The sequence below is a fragment of the Homo sapiens genome, chromosome 1 (assembly GCF_000001405.40).
Source record: "Homo sapiens chromosome 1, GRCh38.p14 Primary Assembly".
In the NCBI taxonomy this organism is placed as follows: Eukaryota; Metazoa; Chordata; class Mammalia; order Primates; family Hominidae; genus Homo; species Homo sapiens.
In genome coordinates this window covers 187,624,578-187,644,261 of record NC_000001.11, presented here as the reverse complement: position 1 = coordinate 187,644,261, position 19,684 = coordinate 187,624,578, and the positions used below count along the sequence as shown (strand labels likewise).

Sequence of the window (19,684 nt, the reverse complement as noted above, 5' to 3'; positions counted from 1 at the left end):
GTATTAGGAGATGGAACTAAGAGGTGATCAGTCCATGAGGGCTCCACTTTCATGTTTGGATTAATATTATTATTGCAGGAGTGAGTTAATTATCATGAGAGCAGGTTGTTATAAAAGTGAGTTTAGGCCTCTCTCTCTCACCTGTGCTCTCTTGCCTTTCCAATTTCTGCCATGGGATAACACTGCACAAGGTCCCTCAGCAGATGCCAGTGCCATGTTCTTGGACTTCCTAGCTGCCAGAACTATAAGCCAAATAAATTTCTGTTCATTATAAGTTACTCAATCTGTGTTATCCTGTTATAAGCAACACAAAATAGACTAAGACAATTTCTAACAAGAATAATATGATTTTATTGAACTTCCTTACTCCCATAAACCAGGTGAAATGATTTCTAGAATTATTTTTTCTTCTGAATATGTTCATTTATTTGGTTATATCTGAAAGTTGATGGTAGAGATATTTCTTATCTGCTCCTATCTAATTTAGGTAAATATTTAAGGGTAATTTATCAAGGTTTTACAGTGCTTCTCTATAATGTTAAAATATTCTCAGGGAATTTTGCAGATAAGTTAATAATGAAGTAATTCAAAGAGCAAAAATGTATAAAACACTTTTGGTTTATCGTTCCTGTAAACAGTTCAAAATAATTTCCTTGACTCTGAAAAACAAAACAAGTATCAGCAATATTCCAAGCAAAAGTCAAAAAGTTTGCTTCAGCTTTCTGAGTTCAGTCCATTTAGTTAACTCTTGTTTTGCTTGATATTCTTGAGCATTTCAGCTCTTTATGTGTCCTGTACATTTTCTTCTATTCCAATGTTACCATCTCCAAAGTTACCAGAAGCCTATATTTGAGAGTGCCTGTTAAAGTCATATAGCTTATTATAAACCATCTTTTGAAAAGGATTAAAACAAGACAATTTTCTGTGAATAGAAAAATGTCCAAGGTACTTACAGTTAGAAACACGATGGAAAAAGAAGTTTGGTTGTCTCCGTGGTTTACAATAACTTAACATAACAACCTTAATTACGATTGGTAGCAAATACTTAGACATTAGAATTTTAGAAGTCCCATACAATTTTGGAACATATATTAGCATTATTTACCAAGATATAACCTAAAGAAGATTGAACATCATTTTGGCAATCCATGTACCTAAACATGTCAAATAACCCTGTTTACCTCTCTTTTCTGGACACTTCAGGGGCCCTCTGAAGTATTCCAAAAGCCAAGTGCCAGGGAAGACAGTTTTGAAACCAAAGTTTGATTTTGGGAAGGCTGTCAAACATGTTTGAGGTTTAAAACACTTGATATTATGAAACAGAGTTCCAAATTGCCATTAAGTTATTTATTTTGCCAAAAGGATGACTCAGAAATTTCAAAGAAGCAAAAACCTTTTATAACCTTATAACCCTTTTGAATTTAGTTAATATGTTGAACCTCTTCTGCAAGATTAATTTCCACAATTCTCCACCACTTGTTTGAACCTTCAGCTTTTTCCTAATTTAAACAATCCTTTAACCCTAAGCAAAAGTATACATTTCCATGCCTTCTTATAATATTTTACAAAAAAACACCACATTTTACTGTTCTTACACATCTTGCATATAAATCTATTTCCTGTAGTCTCAATTACATCTCGGAATAGTAACTCCTAGCAATTTTTAACTTTTAAGGTAAAAACTTGGTAAGTTGTTTAATTGTGTGCTAGGTGCAGCCAAGGTTTGACTCCCAGCATAATTAAGAGCGTGGTTATTTCCATATGTCCCCAGGCCTTACCAATTGTGAAGCCTTCAAGTCAAATAGTTCTCAAAACCCAAAAAGCAGTTTTTAACCTCAAAACACTTAGAAAACCTTGCATCTCACCTGCATTTTACCAATAGTCTTTAGGGCTGTTTTTATTTCTCAGAGATTAAAGTCATGTGAACTGAAAGGTACCACAGCTTTTAACTTCCCTTAAAAAAAATTTGATCCAAGTTCTTGTCTTTCTTTAGGCCAAATTAATTAGCGCACTTTTTACAGATATCACACACAGTACCCACACAGAGAGGCAGAAGAAAATCCAGTCGCTGGGTGGGGCCCTTTAAGAGACAGGAGTAGGAAAACATGCAGATATTGGCCAGAGAGGGCTGATCCCCTAAGGCAGGACTGCTAAACAAAGTCCTGTCAAGCAGTTGTGGGCCATGTCCCCAGGATGTGTAAAACAAGATGGAGGCTTACAGCACAAACCATACAGACACAGGAAGCATACCAGATTGGCCACAGCCCAAGACTAGCCCTACAAATCCTTTTTCACAATTAAAGCTTAATAGAGAATATACACAGGGATTCTTATCATTCCTTGCCTAGTAAAATGTCTTCTAGAAATAAAAAAACTTGCTTAAACTTAAATGCTGATATTGTGGAGAAGAGGAAAGAAAAAAGGTTTTAAAATGCCTGTGGAAGAACCTCTTATTCTTATGCAAGTGTTTCCTTCACCAGGGGGAGAAGTGTAATTGCTGTGGGTTGGAGCTGGGCTCCCTGACTGTGGGAGGAGATTCCATGGGCACATGGTAGAAAACGCCAGCCAGCCTTCTGCAGCGCCTTGAGCCATGTGTCCCAGCCCTGGCAGGGAGGGGACAGTGGCAGGGAGCTGCTGATCCGTCCTGAAACAAAAGGAAAAGGCCATGGAAACGCCCGGCAGCTATAGGGGTGGGGGCATGGTTTCCTCCACCCTCTGAAGTCCAAAGATAAAAGGTTTAGAAGCAACAGTGAGAGGTTTTGAGTCCCCATTTCACTCACCGCTTCTCCGCTTGAGCCCCCAAGTTGCACGTCAAAAATGTTGCAGAACTTTTCCTTAATTCAGCTAAAGACGGGGTTCTTTGTCCCATGGCCATGAAAATTCAGGCTGCCAAACAATTTGAACCGTGAGTAAAACAGGGTTTTAGTGGGTGAAGAGGAAGAAAAGGGGGAAACAGGGACAAAGCCAGAGTCCCTACTACAGGGCTTCCCACCTGGCTTTTTGAATCGCAGTTTACACCCAGGAAGAGGAGGAACCACGCTCTTTGCTGCAAAGGGCACACATTTCCTGAGGCTCCACCCCAGTGCACTGGCCGGTTGGAGTTTTTCCAGGGACTCCCCTCCCATCTGGCTTGTCTCACCAGGGCCCAGGGTATAAAATATCTGGTACAGTAATGATAATTACAGCACTTTCCATATATTGGTAGCTGTCTAAGTTCTAGAGAGTCTCCTTTAATTTTGACAACAACCCATGAAATAGGTATTATTTTTTTCTTTTTACAAGATTAAACCAAGGCTCAGAAATGTGGGATGGAAATGGACAGAGGACTTCCCATGTACTGAAGGCAGACTGAGCAAAGGCTTAAGAAAGCACATGGCATACACTGAGGACCAGGCAAGAAATTCTGTTGAATTCACTAAGTGAATATATTAATTGAGATGCTGAAGTAACTGAAAATCCAGACACATGGGCTTAACCTGTTATGGTAGACAAGGGGAAGGAAAGGAAAGTAAGTGACTTTAAATAAATTTATTCTATAAGCCAGGCAGAGAATTAGGCACATTAAAATGTTGATTCTTTTCATTCTCATGATACTCTGCCAAAGAGATATTTTAATTTCTATTTTATAAAAGGAACAATAGAATGTGAGAGAGTTTAGCAACTTACTCTCAATCACACAATTAGTAACTGATAGATTTTAGATTTAAAATATACCCCAGAGTGACCCTATAGCAAAGTGGAGCAGTTTTAAAGAGGAATAAGTAAGAGAGAATAATTTCAGTTTGAGTAAAGCTGCATTTAAGGTGGCCATATGTTATCATGTGGCAAAATCCTGTTTATTAGTGGATTGTAGTACTGTAGCACTGGTCAAGGCTTAACAAGATTACTTGACAATCATATCCTAGTAGTAGTAGAAGATACCATATCCTCATCCTCTTCTCCTACCCCATGTGCACCTCAAGAATTCATTCTCCTCTTCCCCATTTTGTAGCAACCAAGAGGTTTACATGGATTAAGTTTACCCTTCACTCCAGAGAGTCCCTTAGCTTCATGAAAATTCTGTCTTCATTACTGCAGTTACTGGGTCAGAAATGAACCAGTGTTTGGAGAGCACCGTTGCCATATTCTAATTCAAGGGTGGTCCAATCAATGTAAAGCTCAAAACGTTTCTTTGAAATTTTAAAAACCTCCCGCCCACCACACCCTCTTCTCTGTCAGAATGATCACATAAGCTTGTTGCTTTTAGAACACTCTTCCTACCGTGGGAGAAGTCAGGCAGAGAATGGAGCAAATACAAAGACAGCAGATCCACTAAGCCTGAAAATTAGCCTATCTTTGGAAGTTTTCATTGTCCAAGTCTTTAAATCCACCAATTAATTCATTACTAAACCAATTTAGATTGAGTTGTCTTAACTGTAAAAAAAAAAAAAAAATTCTAAAACCAAATTTGATCTATTGTATTTTTATAAGAAACAGACCCTAAAATGTGAGCCAAGTTGGGAAGTAGGGCAGAGGAAGTGAATAGCTACTTAACCAGGAACTAAGATAGCCTTAATATTCTAATCAGATCAACTAATGTTTAAAGAGGCCTCTTTCCGACTCTAGGCCACTGGACTCCCTATTTCCTAAAGCATTAACTTTACAACACTTATAAATTCTTTCCCTTCGAGATGTGAATCATTTAGAAAGTCTCCTGCCAATGTTACAACCCAGAAATGTCTTTCTCAAGGACATGAGAGATATCCCTTTTATTTCTAATTTAAAAAAAAAGATTGATTGATTGATTGATTCATTCATTCATTCATTCATTTTTGGATACAAGGTCTTGGGATGTCACCCAGGCTGGAGTACAGTGGAGCAATCACAGCTCACTGCAGCTTCCAGCTCCTGGGCTGAAGTGATCCTCTGGCCCCAGCCTCCAGAGCAATTGGGACTACAGTCACAGACTCCAGGCTCATTGTTGGAAATAAGAGTTTGGAGTCACAAAGAAAACAAGTACTTAGACAGAGAACATATCAGCAAGGCAAATTTACCTCTGCAGAAGGGTGTGTCTTGCATATGGAGCAATGGTGAGAGCATACAGAACAAAGAAAGCAGGGGTTTTTATTATCTCTAACACATCTTCTGCTTCTGTATCTTTCCCCTTTTTGCTAGGGTTGGACTGCACAGTCTAAACTAGTTCCGATTGGCTTAACATTTAAAGTTTCTTAGATAAGGTAGGCACATAAGGGAGGTGAGAAGAGAGAGAAAGGGGGTCATTTACGGGGGACTAGGAAGGTGACCTATTCCCTAATAAGGAAAGGAATGTGGACTGGGGTTGTAGCAAGTTCAGGCATGCCTAGGCATATTCAGACAAGTTGGGGCACAGCAAAGGGAAAGGGGTATTTGGAATTATAGGATAAAGAATGGGGAAACTGGATAAGCTGTTTGAAGAGGAAACCTAACTGTATCTAACAATTTCCCCCTTTTTGATATTTATAATTTTTTCTCTTCAAACCTTTTTTAACATATCTTGACTTTGTTGTTCTGCCTGATCTTCTAAAAGAAAGAGCTTATCTGAATAAGGCAAGGGAGAATTGAGGAAAGTTTTGGAGAGAGTTGTCTCAGTAAGTCTTTGTATTAACCCTGGAGCACAGGGTATGAGGCAACATCCAACAAGAATTAATACACTTATAACAATTGTCAGGGAGGTGACTATTGAAGTTACTAGCTTTTTCTACCCACCGAACCACTTTTTCATGAGGCTTGTAAAGAGGTCATCTATTCTGGAGTTTTTAGACAATTCATCTCATAGAGAGGTAAGGCCCTGCAAAGCCTTTGTAATTGGCCCAATGGGGACTGTGTTGTTAGGGATGAAAATACAACACTGGGTTCTGATCATGACCCAAACTCTACCTTTCTCTGCTACTATCATGTCTAATGCCATTCTATTTTCCCAGGCCATTTGACTGGTGGGTCCCAATTGTTCAGCTATTCCTTTAATGGCATCTCTGGTATAGTTAACAAATCGTTGCTGGTTATAGTAAATGTAATTTATCCAATCTACATTTTTATTAATACTACCCACCAGAACAATGTAGATTGAAACCCTGCAGCTATTTGGTTTCAAGCATTAAATTCATTTGGCAGTCCTCGTGGAATCCTGATGGCATCTATATAAACTTGAGGATCAAAGGACTCATGAGGGGTCTCTCTCAGTTTACAGCACTTTGCTTTTACTTTCCCTGGTTGATGAAATGCCAGGGTGAAAGGGATAGCCAATGGAATTAGATCACAAATTCTGCTCCAGTTACTTGGCAGAGTGTCCAGCAGGGTCCACCACAATATCACCATACATCCACTTGGGGATGGCTAAGGGCTGACTGATGGGTAAGCTCTTGAAAGGGCCTAAGCTCTTTGCATACCTTTAACTCTCCGAGGAACGCTGTTTTCCCCCTGTCGTGAGAGACACGAGGTAAACTTGGCATTGGAAGGTGGAGGCTGGATGGCCTTTGGGGCCTGACCTGCAGGGTGTTGAACTTCTGGGAACAGCAGAGAAAGAGCTTGGCACAATTTGTCTTCCCAGGCTGTGGGATCTTGAAAAAGAGCTACCATACAGCTCCCGCCCAGTCAGTGGGGAGACTGTCCAAGTGGAAAGGGGACGATCTGGGCCTCTGGTCTAACATGCGCACAAGTGTAACAGTCGCTTAGGATTTGGACGGAATATTTAATCCATTCTAGCAAGGCATTTATATCTTGGTATCCTGTCTTAATTGCTGGGTTTGTTTTAGATCTTTTACTTCTATAACGAACACCTTGGTTTTATCTTTAGGTACAGGAATAACAGGTGTTTTGTTCAAAGCTGAAGCTATTGGGGATGGAGAAGGAGGAGGGGGGGAAACAAAGTGTATCTCAAAAATGCCTATAGGGTCTCTCCGTTAACATCGGCCCTATACCATAGAGGTGGCTGAGGGCGGGCCTAGGGTCAGCAGAGGTAGGGATAGTAATGCAAATGAGGATGGGGTTGCTTTGGTGAGATTGGCAATCAGGGGAAGTAGTTCCTTTAGTAAAATGAAGGTAAGGTTTTAGGGAGGTACAGCCTTCTGAGGAAGCCTAGCCCTAGGACTGAGTGGTCCAGAGAATATTGTACCAGGAATAGCACCGTAGCCATTTATAAGGAATTTTACAAGGATTAGGTTGAGAATGAGGTGAGCACTAAGGGCAAAGATATTTTTCTGAAGAGGCTAGTTGCCTTTGACTTTGTAGGTCTCCACAGGGTATGGCTAAGTAAGTATCACACGCAATAGCTTGGGAGGGAGGCTGACCTGGTTTACATTGATAGTAAGGTGGCTGACAGTGGAGTGAAGGAAGAAGAAGAGACAATAGAAGAGATATAAGACGATTAGTCTTTTCTTAGCTTTAGTTTGGTGGGACTTGATCCCAGAACAATGGCCTATGACTCTAAAGATGGTGGCGCTTTCTTGACTTGGGTATGGTGAGTCCACCCTCTTTCTGCTGTTCAGACTGTGGTCTCAGTAGTTAGAAGCACTAGGTAGGGACCTTCCTAAGCCGGTTCGAGTTTTTCTTCTCTCCAGCTCTTAATGAGAACGTGATCTCCAGGTTGATGCAGGTGTGCTGGGAACTCCAGGGGTGGTGCCTGTGCTAAAAGGCCTTTAGTTCAGAGGGACGAGAAAGTGCAAGATAGACCAAGTATATAGTTTTGAGAAATTTATCTTTCATTTTAAATGTAGGAATGTCAGCAGTGGAGTGTAAATAAGGCAACTTACATAGCATTTCATAAGAGGATAAGCTGACATTTTTCCGAGGGGCGGCCCTGAGCCTTAACAAGGCAATGGGGAGGAGTCTCTAAAACTAATTTGGTTAAGTGGCTCCTTAGAGTTTGGTTCATTCTATATACTCTTCCTGATGAAGGTACCAGGGAGTATGGTATTCCTATGTTATGTTTAGTACTAGGGCTAATTTCTTAATGACATGTGCAGTGAAATGAGTCTTATTATCTGAATCAGTATTTTCTATTTATCTAAACCTGGATATAATATTCTCAGTTAATGCTTTAACTACATTACTGGTGGTTGCACTAGAAAAGGGAATAGCCTCTACCCAGTGAGTCAGGTGATCTACTATCACTAGTAGGTACTTTAGGTGACCTATTTGGGGGCATTTTGGTGCAATCAATTTGGACACTTTGGAATGGTTTTAATCCTGGGTCCCTTCCTCCAAAGGGTGACCTTCTTAAGAGTTTGCTTATTCATTTTTTTCTTTGTTTTTTTTGTTTGTTTGTTTGCTTGTTTTTTGAGATGGAGTCTTGCTTTGTCACCCAGGCTGGAATGCAGTGGCGCAATCTCGGCTCACCTCCCAGGTGCCCCAGCCTCCCGAGTAGCTGGGACTACAGGCGCCCACCAACATGCCTAGCTAATTTTTTGTATTTTTTAATAGAGACAGGGTTTCTCCATGTTAGCCAGGATGGTCTTGATCTCCTGACCTCGTGATCTGCCCTCCTTGGCCTCCCAAAATGCTAGGATCACAGGCGTGAGCCACCATGCCTGGCCTTGTTTTGTTTTGTTTTGTTTACATATTAGGCAACTATCTCTAACTTGTTTTGCCAGAATATAAATTTTTATACATCCATAGACTCTGAGAACTGCATTACACGTAGCTTGGGACTTAGGCTGCGGAGTGGGGAGATGGTGGAGGCGCTGCTGGCCAGGCTCAGGCTGCTGCGAGGTTGGCTCTCCTCCATCAAGGGTCAGCTCTGGGGTCCCAGTGACAGGGAGAAAGAGGATGGTGTGGGTGCTGCAGCACTCAGGCAGCCCCCCGCCTCCTTTGTGTCCTAGCTGCTGTCTCCAATAGTTCTCAATCTCTCTCCTCACCTGCTCACTCGGACTTTTCATCTCTTTGTCTCCTGTCTCTTCCTCTCTCTTCCTTCTACACTCTCTCCAGTCTCACTTTCTGTGTCCCTCTCTGATCTCTTGTCTCTTCCAGTCTCTCTTTCATTCATTTTCTCCCTCTAATCTTTCTGTTTCTGTCCAAATCTTTCATTTCCAGACTCACAGCGTTTCTTCCTTGAGTCTCTATCTCATTTGCACTCTCTCTCTCTCTCTGTCTGTTAAACCCTGTTTCCTCTCTCCCTCACACTCAGCCTCTTCCTCTTTCTCTCTGTAATTTCCCTTTTCACTTTCTCCCTTCTTCCCTCTCCCAGTTTCTCTTTTCTCTCTTCTTACATATACTTTTTGAGTTTCTCCTATTTCCTTTTACACTTGTGAAATGTCTGGCACAACCAGACATTTTACTTGAAGACAAAACTACTCTCTTTTCCTCTCTTCTTCTTTTAACTTACTACCATTCATTTTTCTTCTTGCTTTTCAGACAACACTAAAACTTTTAACAAAATCTTTGAGGTGGCTTTCTTTCAGTAGTCTAGAATCCACTAAGTCATTTCATGGGTCTTTACCCTGAAATGCTACATTTAAAAAAAAATGGCAATTTTCTTAATTGGCTCAAAAAGAGTATGGCTTGGTTTTACTTGGTAAAGTTAATGTGTTTTTAAAATATATATATATACACACACACACACTTTTTTATATTATTTATTACTTTATTGCATAAAAGAGCTAATTATCAAACAAAATACAAAAAGTTTAGCAATCATCCAGGCTTCATTTTATGAATGTTCAGAGAAGAAATGATTTGTACAAAGTTACAGTAAGTTTGTGACAGGTCAAGGTCTACAAGCCAAGTCTCTTGACACCCAACTTTGTTTCTTTCTGCACAGAAATTTATATTCTTTCTGAGTTCTTTCTGAATTAGAATTGACTGAGTTCTTGACCCTTTTCTCTCTGTCTCCTTGGACCCCTTTTCTCTGCCTAAGTATGTGTATATAAGCAAATATATGAGAAATGCCATCTAACTCCTTTCATTCTCTTTCTTTCTTTCTTTCTTTCTTTCTTTCTTTCTTTCTCTTTCTTTCTTTCTCTTTCTCTCTCTGTCTCTCTTTCTCTCTTTTCTCTCTCTCTGTCTTTCTCTCTCTCTTTCTTTTTATTTCTTTCTTTCTCTCTCTCTTTTTTTAATTTTATTATTATTATACTTTAAGTTTTAGGGTACATGTGCACAATGTGCAGGTTAGTTACATATGTATACATGTGCCATGCTGGTGTGCTACACCCATTAACTCGTCATTTAGCATTAGGTATATCTCCTAAAGCTATCCCTCCCCCCTCCCCCCAACCCACGACAGTCCCCAGAGTGTGATGTTCCCCTTCCTGTGTCCATGTGTTCTCATTGTTCAATTCCCACCTATGAGTGAGAATATGTGGTGTTTGGTTTTTTGTTCTTGCGATAGTTTACTGAGAATGATGATTTCCCATTTCATCCATGTCCCTACAAAGGACATGCACTCATCATTTTTTATGGCTGCATAGTATTCCATGGTGTATATGTGCCACATTTTCTTAATCCAGTCTATCATTGTTGGACATTTGGGTTGGTTCCAAGTCTTTGCTATTGTGAATAATGCCACAATAAACATACACGTGCATGTGTCTTTATAGCAGCATGATTTATAGTCCTTTGGGTATATACCCAGTAATGGGACGGCTGGGTCAAATGGTATTTCTAGTTCTAGATCCCTGAGGAATTGCCACACTGACTTCCACAAGGGTTGAACTAGTTTACAATCCCACCAACAGTGTAAAAATGTTCCTGTTTCTCCACATCCTCTCCAGCACCTGTTGTTTCCTGACTTTTTAATGATTGTCATTCTAACTGGTGTGAGATGGTATCTCATTGTGGTTTTGATTTGCATTTCTCTGATGGCCAGTGATGGTGAGCATTTTTTCATGTGTTTTTTGGCTGCCTAAATGTCTTCTTTTGAGAAGTGTCTGTTCATGTCCTTTGCCCACTTTTTGATGGGGTTGTTTGTTTTTTTCTTGTAAATTTGTTTGAGTTCATTGTAGATTCTGGATATTAGCCCTTTGTCAGATGAGTAGGTTGCAAAAATTTTCTCCCATTTTGTAGGTTGCCTGTTCACTCTGATGGTAGTTTCTTTTGCTGTGCAGAAGCTCTTTCGTTTAATTAGATCCCATTTGTCAATTTTGGCTTTTGTTGCCATTGCTTTTGGACACATACACATTTTTATTCAGGAAGAAAAATTATTTAAACACCTGCCAATTTGAAAAAGCATTAAAGTAAAAAACAAAAAGCAAATGCTAAAAAGTACTTTACAATTAAAAAATTAATCAGCCGGTTAAATGAATGTAAAATAGGAATGTACAGTGAAAAACAAACTAATATAAAGCATTCCAGCTGATAAAATTAAAAACCTACTCCGGCTTATAGTTTGTTTTCTAAGGAAGTTATGATTCAATGTAAATTTTGAAATACTCTAAACATACATTCCATGTAGATTTTGAGTGCCAATGCTAAAATTTCAAATTTTGCCTGCAAGGCTTATCAAAGAAACACTGGTAGAATTCCAGTATTTGCAAAATTTTAAGTTTTGGGGAATATTGTAAATATTACAATTGGTATTAGAAAGCCATCATGAATAGAAATAAGAGAAAACTTATTTCATAAATATTTTGCTTGACTAAAAATACCAGGCTTGCATGTTCTAAATAATTCAAGAAAATATCTTTTTAAAAAAGAACTGCAATTTAACAGATATCTGTACATCTTTAGCTGCTATTAAAAAAAAAAGACAACTTAAAACAATGAAAATGTTACAGCTGGTATAAAGTAACCTTATGATGCTTTCATTATAAGGAAATAAAAGTGCACATTTATAAACAAACAGTCTCTCCACCAGTAAACACACAGAGCCTTTTCTACACTAAAGTTTCTTTCCATTTGCCACTAGACTGGGCTTTGTCCCTCGCTCTCTGGATGACAGGCTGTGTCTGTTGTGTCTTTATGATCTTGCTGTCTTCTGCCATCTGCATGCCAGACCCACCTTTGTTAAGCGTTTTCATCAACTTCTACGTGAGTAACACTGGAAACTGTGGATGCCGTCCTTTGGGGTGGGAGTTTCCTAGCAGAGTGGCAGTTCCCTTCACACTCTTTGGACAGCTCTGGCAGGCCCTGCAGCTTGGGCAGACTGCCTTGGCCTAAGGGGGAGGGAGGTTAGGGTCAGGAGTGTTAGGTGGCTTAAAGGAGTTGGCTTTTGTCTTACTTCCTGTAGTCTTTAGGGGGTAAAGGAGGACCAGCCCCTCCCGTCAACAGAGGGCATAGCCTACCTCCTCTTGGGAGACTGGAATTTTACTATTCACAAATCGAACTACAAGCTGACAAATCCAAGCCTCATTTGACCTCAACTTTGGCCAGAAGACTTAGGGTTTGAGGATTAGTTCTTGAGTCCAAATGAAACAACAATATTTTATTATTTGTTGTTTTTTTCTTGTGTCTAGTCCTTTCATTATCTTTCCAGTATTTTAACATAAGACCTAGGGGGCTAACAGGTATCATTGTTATTATTTCTATCCTTTTTACTCCTTGTTTTACTTGGGACATTTCCCATGTTGGGTCCTGGTTAGGCTCAATACCTTGCACTAGGAATTTCTTGCCTATCTTCCTCTGGAGGCTCTCTAAGACTCAATCCCTCATACTAGGAATTTCTTGCCTATCCTTCTCTGGAGGCTTACTGAGGCTCAATCCCTCATACTAGGAATTTTCTGCCTTTCACACATTTTCAACCTCCAAGAAATCCCAACCACCAAGGAGTACTTCACCACCCGCACAGCTTTTCTTGCCTTGGTATGTCCCGACCAAAGAATACTTCACCACTCCTGCGTTTTTTTTTTTTTTTACCTTCATCCCGACCACAAAGGAAATACTTTGCTGGCTCCTGCGGTGTTTCCTACCTTGGTCTGTGCACAGAGATACCTGGTCGTCGCGGTATTTGTAGGCCTTTTCCTCCTGCATTCCTGAGAGTCCAGGTTTATTCTTCACACTGGGTGAGTCTTGAAACTTTACCCCTGAGGCCACCACAATGAGGCAATGGGACGCGTCTCCTCACGAGTGAGGACTGAAGACCCCCTCCCCTGAGAAGAGTGGCTTCCCTGTATGGGCCACGAAATTGTTGGGAATAAGAGCTCAGAGTCACAAAGAAAACAAGCACTTAGATAAAGAACATCTCAGCAAGGCAAATTTACTTCTGCAGAAGGGTGCATCTTGCGTATGTAGCAATGGTGAGAGCACACAGAACAAAGGAAAGCAGGGGTTTTTATTATCTCTAATGCAGCTTCTGCTTCTGTGTCTTTCACGTGTTGGCTAGGGTTGGACCGCACAGTCTAAACTAGTCCCAATTGGCTTAATTCTTAGATAAGGTAGACACGTAAGGGAGATGAGAAGAGAGAGAAAGGGGGTCATTTACGGAGGTACTAGGAAGGTAACCTATTCCCTAATAAGGAAAGGAGTGTGCACTGGGGTTGTAGCAAGTTCAGGCATGCCTAGGCATATTCAGACAGGCTGAGGCATAGCAAAGGCAAAGAGGTATTTGGAATTATAGGATAGAGAACAAGGACACCGGATAAGCTGTTTCAAGAGGGAACCTAACTGTATCTAACACTGATCCCTTTGAAATGTAAGCACAAGGAGGAGAGAACTTGTATCTCCCAGTCTCTGTGGAAGGGCAGGTGTCTTTCTTTGGTGGGCTTCTTATTCCAAGATGTAAACTATCTCCTGTTATAAAGGTACAAGAAAATTTACTTTTCCTTTGAGTAAAGCAAATTAGCAAACAGATGGCCTATGACTCTTCCCTTTCCCTTCTATGCTCAACTACCATCTCTTAAAAACTCTCCTGCTCTTTGTTTTACCCAAATTGAGCTCCAGCTTAGTTCTAATCTTTCTTTTCTGTTGCAATAGCATTGAATAGTCTTTCCTGCCTGCTTCACTTTGTCTGGTGTAATTTTTACTTTGATGCCAGCCACTGAAGTCAGCAAGACTTATTAATGATCACAAAAACGTTAATGAAATTGTAGCATATATTTCTTTGGGATTCAGTAAAGTGGCACTGGTAGATTTTATAGTAACAATTTTAGGATAACTGTGTGTGCAAGCTATTTTGTACATGTTTTAGTAAGGTTCTACTAGAAAGCAAGATATCTTGAAACTAAAAACAAAAATAATGAAATCAAATTTGAAATTGCTAAGAGAGATCCTTTCTGCCTGCAGGCTACAATTCAAGATTATTTGTGGTCCATTAATTTGGAGACCCTGAGAAGGAAAAGCAAACTTCTCCAACTAAAACTCAGATTAGTATGAGGTAGGTTGATGAGAGAAATACTAGGAAATAGGATTGGAACATAAGACAAAGCTGACCCCTTAGGCCTTCCCAAGCTTTTAAAGTATTATTTGGCTCACAGAAGGAATAATCACTCCAGCTTCAGTGAGGCCGGAGGGCAAATGACTGCTTAGCTGTATCTCCCCACCCCAAAGCCTTATTTCCAAGGCAGACTCTATGAATTTGTTAGATTCTAGAAATAGATACTAAAATGTTGTTCTACAGAAATTTTAAGTTAAATTTCCAGTATTTTGAACTTCAAATGTCTTTGTATTTAAGGTCTCATCATCATGTCAAAACATTATCTAGTTTGTATACTCAAAGCAGTAGTCCTATTTTTAACCCACATAATTGTGGCTAGGTTGTACCATATAAATTATATGTTACAAAACCTCATCCATCCCCATTCTTCAGTAAAGGATATGAATATTAAAATCTTAAGTGTTCTGCATATTTAATTATAAAATACCCTAGTTATTTATTCAGTTATAATATATTATGGGCGGAAAGTATATAATCTGCCTGATGATTTCCTTGATAAATGTATTTGTCTTTTTAATGAGCTTCTTTGTTAAGGTGGTTAGAATGATTAATGTGCTAGAGCACATCATCAGTAACCTTGAAAACCAAAAATCAATATTTGGGAAAAATCCTTATGCAGTGAAATACAGTGCTTAAAACTGCAGAAATCTCCATGGGGTTGCCAGCCAGTTGATTAGCAGACATGTTTGACATGTTGCTATTTAAATAGGATTAAGTGTATTGGGTAAGTGATGTGGGGGAAAAGACAGGCATGGGGAGGGGCTTTGAAAAGCAATTATAACACAAGAATTGATAAGCTCCATTATCTCCAAATGGATTTGATAGTTCAGATTACTAATTGCCCTGTCAGTATGCCTTGAAAGTATAGCAAAAGAGCCATAATTTGCTCAAAAAAAAAATACTTAAAAGGAAATATGCTTTCCATAGCATATTCATAACTGTCTTTCATTTTAATCAATTGCTTGACCCTAAGGGTTGCACACGACTTTTTTTTGTTTTGTTTTCTATGGATGAGAAATATTTATTCTAGGATATAATCATTTTATATCTTGGGGAGTTACAGAAAATAAAATTCATAAAATATAAAGCAATAAAGCAGAACAAGAAATTAATATTAAAAATGAAGATTAAACATTTCTTGTCAGTTGTTTTGCAGATTTCTTCTGAGCCTGCCATTACTAAATGTAGCCAAATAAAATGTACCTGACACCACACAGATTCACTTTTGCCAAACTTTTTCTTTTTCTACTTTTTCTGCTCTCTTATTTGGTATGTTTGTATATAAATTCTTCCATACAGAACATATTCATATAAAGACAAAAGAGGACAGGACTGCAAAGATATAACATATTTGTATTTTTGTAAAACTGATTTTCTTTACATTTACAATTTTGTTAAGACCTCAGGTGATAGAATGAGTTGTAATTTCATGAAAAAGATATAATCATAAATGGTTAGATAAATTGCTAAAGCCTTTTGAACTAATGTACACGGGAACTACTGGATTATCTATTTTGCACAGCTCTTTGAGTTAAATATGTCAAACTATTTGGCTTCATGTTTTCAGTAGTGGCAGCTTGAATAGAACTGAGTTGACATAATTTCTGCTTATATTCCATCATTTGAAGACAACATAAATTTAAGAGCATGGAGTCTTGGGCCAAACACTCTGTGTTTGAATTTTGTTTTTACCCCTAGCTGGTTGTGTAACCTAGGAATTGTGACATAGCCTCTCTACATCAGTTTCCAGAATTAGAATAGTACCTTGCCAATTTCAAAGCCAAAGACTACTAGAAAGTACACCTGTGATTAAAAAAAAAGAGTTAAGTTTATTAAGTCTACTGTGGCAAAAGAGGCAGCCATATCACAAGGTGAAACATTGAGGCACCTTGATTAAAGGGAGTTAGAAAAGGCTTGTTATTACAGAATTTAATTTAGCAGAATGTTGAAGGACGATGGGGTCCCTTCTGGACTGGGTGCTACCAAAAAATTGGTGTATGGGATCTTGTCTGTAAGGGTCAAGAAAAGCAGATGAGGCTAGAGTTATCATGAAAGAAGTAGCAGTCACTTGTATAAATTGGAAACTGGAGATTTTGGTAATATTTAGTAGTTAAATAGAGTTTGTTTTTATCTTTGTTCAGTCATGACCATGAAATTGTCTTCATGGTTGCAGAGAGTTCTCATCAGATGCTAATATTGTATGCAGTCAACTGTGCTCATCAGGGGAATACCACGGCCTGACTGGTAGTTACCGGGTCAGCTGTTAGCTGACAGCTGTCAGGGATATTTCTTTTTTTCTTTATCTTTCTTTCCTTTATTTTCTTTTTTTGTTTTTCCTGTCCTGGTAAGTCTTTGGGCCAAGGGCTGAGAAAGCTAGGCTGTAAGGGATTGTTGAGAATTTGCTAATCAAAAAGCTGTGCAGGTAATATTTTCTCTAATTGAACTAAAGTTAGTCTTTCCTGTTTCAGGATAAGTTATCAAACTAATTTGATAATGGCTACACAGTAACTTTTAGGACTCTGGGAAGAACTCATCAGCTAACTGCCGTACAGGCCTTTACCAGAAACAAAATGAGTATTAGTTTTCATAATAGAAGCCGGAGACCTAGATGACCAAACTCTGACTACAAACCATATTCCACGGTTCAGATGGGTTTTTTTCAGAGTCAAGTTGTTGCTGCTGTTGTTGTTTGAGACAAGGTCTCACTCTGTAGCCCAGGCTGGAGTACAGTGGCACAATCTTAGCTCACTGCAACTTCTGCCTCTGGGCTCAAGCAATTCTCCAGCCTCAGCCTCCTGAGTAGCTGGGACTATAGGCACGAACCACCAATGCCCATCTAATTTTTGTAATTTTTGTAGAGATGGAGTTTTGCCATGTTGCCCAGGCTGGTCTCGAACTCCTGAGCTCAAAGCAATCTGCCCGCCTCTGCCTGCCAAAATGCTGGGATTACAGGCGTGAGCCACTGCACACAGCCAAGTGTTTTTGTTTGCTTATTTTTGTTTTAACTGGCCTGTTCATGGACCGTTCCATATGGGGCACCAAGAAGTTTTTGCTATATCATGCTTTCTCATCTAGCCAAAAGAAAATCAAGGGCTAATGTAATGGTACCTGGTAACACTTGAGAATTAGAGACTGGTTTGTTGGGTTTTCAGGGAAAAGTTGGTGTTTGTAGAATAAGTAGTACTGTAGGATACAGAATGTATCAGGAATATAAAAACCATTTATGGCAACAGGGGAAACAACCTTGTGTACCTTAATGAGAACAGGTTTTCTGAGTGAAGTTAAATAGAACTTACAAAGTAACAAGCTGAGTGTGACATAAAAGGATAGTCCTGCTATTGATAGGGGAATTAAGAAGAAATTACTTAGGCAGATAGTGAGAGTACAGAAGTCCTCAGTAAGGTTTTCCTTTACCTTTTGTCAAACAAAAAGCAGCCCCAAATTATTTTCCTTTCTAACAAAGAGCAGCCTGTAAAATCAAGCTGCAGACGTAGATGCTGGTAGTTGTGCCAATCATGTTCAAGATCGCAGTTCCATCTTCCCTTCTCTTTGTCAGCTGTGTGTACAGTAAAGAGCAGACAAGACGGTCCCGGCCAATGGGGAAAGTTCATTTACATAATAAGATTAGGGTGGGGCAGCCAGCCTTCCCCAAGCACTATGTAAACATCATAACTGATGGAACGAATCTGTGAGCCCTATGTAAATCAGACACCACCTCCTGAAACCTGACTATAAAATCTGGCTCATCCACCACTGGCTGGCCTTTTCCTCTGGGAAGTCCCCTCTCTCTCACTGGAGAGAGAGCTATTTTCCTTTTTCTTTCTCTTCTTGCCTATTACACCTCCACTTCTAAACCTCTCCTGTGTGTCTGTGTTCTAAATTTTCCTGGCATGAGACAATGATCCCCTGGTATCTACCCCAGACAGTGTAGCCACTTCACTATTAGTTTCCACTCTTACAAAACTGAGTTTTGATGAAAGGACTGTACTGATCTCGTTAGAAGCATTTTGTTGGCAAGGGATCAAAATCTACTTATAATGAAATTAAAAGTTGGATTAATAATGAAAGAAAAATGTAAGTACTTGAATGAACATGAAGAAGAAAATCAACCTTCTGAAGAATTTAAAGAACATTAGTTGAATTTTGAGCAGCAGGATCAGGTGAAGACTGACACATCAGCAATCATTAGGTTCAGATCAGTAGTTATGATAGGAAAACAAAACCAATAAAAGTTTTGTCTTTTTTTAAGTGGCAGTTAAAATACTATGGGGGTGGAAGTACAGGAGAGCATATTGAAAACTCTTTAATTGATTACCAGAGAGCATAGAAGTGTAACAGACAAGAATAGTATTATAGAAAAGAGAAAAAAGCATAAACGTATTGGAAAATTCATATTAACTCAACTTCTTGGTTGAAAATTACCTACTTTGTGTTGTCATCTAAACTGATATTTTGAATCAGCTATCTATTGGAAAAGAAAAATCACACTGAACAAGATTAGTAAGCAGAAATTGATTTTATTCTGATACTGTTGCAGCAATAGGGGAGAAAGCACATACCAAGACTGGTTACACAATTCTGTGGTGGTGATGACATAAAGAGTTTTTAAGAGCTAGGGTAGGGAGAATCTTAGGCCAGCCTTGGGTGTTTACTAATTTGCTTTACTCAAACAGAAATTAAATTTTATTTTATCTTCATGACAAGAGACAAGTTGACAAGTTGGATCAAGGGGCCTACCAAAGTTAGGCTCTTACGCTCCCACAGAGACTGGGAGGTCTATCTCCTTCAATAATTGCATTTGAAAGAAATTGCTTCCAAGTTCTTCAGAAAGACATTCCTGGATTGTAAAACTAGCAGCAGGCTTTAAAAAGATTTACATTTTAAAGGGACAGACAAGGGATTTTTGAATGAAAGTTTTATAATGTATATGACTAGGAAACTGAAGGTTGGGGGCTTAGTGTCCGGAAAAAAGCTATCTAATAAGTTTAGTAAAACTAAAGGGAATGTTAAGGGAGTCTTGGTCATAACTCCCAGGCTACTTGGCTTCTGGAGGTTCTGAAGGCTACTCAGCTGGAAGTCTCCCAATAGTGTTCAAGCCCAATGAAGCAGAAAAGATGGCTATGTCTTTTTAATTGGAAAAAATAAATCCAAAGATCGATTTCTTGGAGTTTTAGTGCTGTATAAATTATCATGAATTGTTAACAATACTAATAACGTTTTTCTTAGCGATCATTATTAATAGTATGACAAAGTACTTTCCATAGAGGCTGAAGGATGGATCTGTCTCTCTCTCTCTCTCTCTCCTTTCCCCACACCTCAGGTTGTACAGGAGCTGTTTATGCGGCTATCTTTAAAAAAGCTCTATTT

At 39.2% G+C, this 19,684-nt stretch overlaps 1 pseudogene, besides 3 other annotated features; it reads right to left on the bottom strand.

The window, feature by feature from the left end:
* Positions 4,797-5,996: an enhancer, noted in NCBI's record as "MED14-independent group 3 enhancer chr1:187607398-187608597 (GRCh37/hg19 assembly coordinates)". NCBI's record gives its function as "activates an origin of replication core promoter dependent on BRD2, BRD4, P300/CBP and CDK7 cofactors, and independent of MED14, by STARR-seq in HCT116 cells {active_cell/tissue: HCT116}" and the evidence as "EXISTENCE:reporter gene assay evidence [ECO:0000049][PMID:35650434]".
* Positions 6,006-6,505: an enhancer, noted in NCBI's record as "H3K27ac hESC enhancer chr1:187606889-187607388 (GRCh37/hg19 assembly coordinates)". NCBI's record gives its function as "activates a minimal SCP1, AML or CMV promoter by ChIP-STARR-seq in naive H9 embryonic stem cells {active_cell/tissue: H9 hESC(naive)}" and the evidence as "EXISTENCE:reporter gene assay evidence [ECO:0000049][PMID:30033119]".
* LOC100967224 (neuroepithelial cell transforming 1 pseudogene) lies at positions 9,231-12,110 on the bottom strand (annotated as a pseudogene).
* Positions 12,566-13,765: an enhancer, noted in NCBI's record as "MED14-independent group 3 enhancer chr1:187599629-187600828 (GRCh37/hg19 assembly coordinates)". NCBI's record gives its function as "activates an origin of replication core promoter dependent on BRD2, BRD4, P300/CBP and CDK7 cofactors, and independent of MED14, by STARR-seq in HCT116 cells {active_cell/tissue: HCT116}" and the evidence as "EXISTENCE:reporter gene assay evidence [ECO:0000049][PMID:35650434]".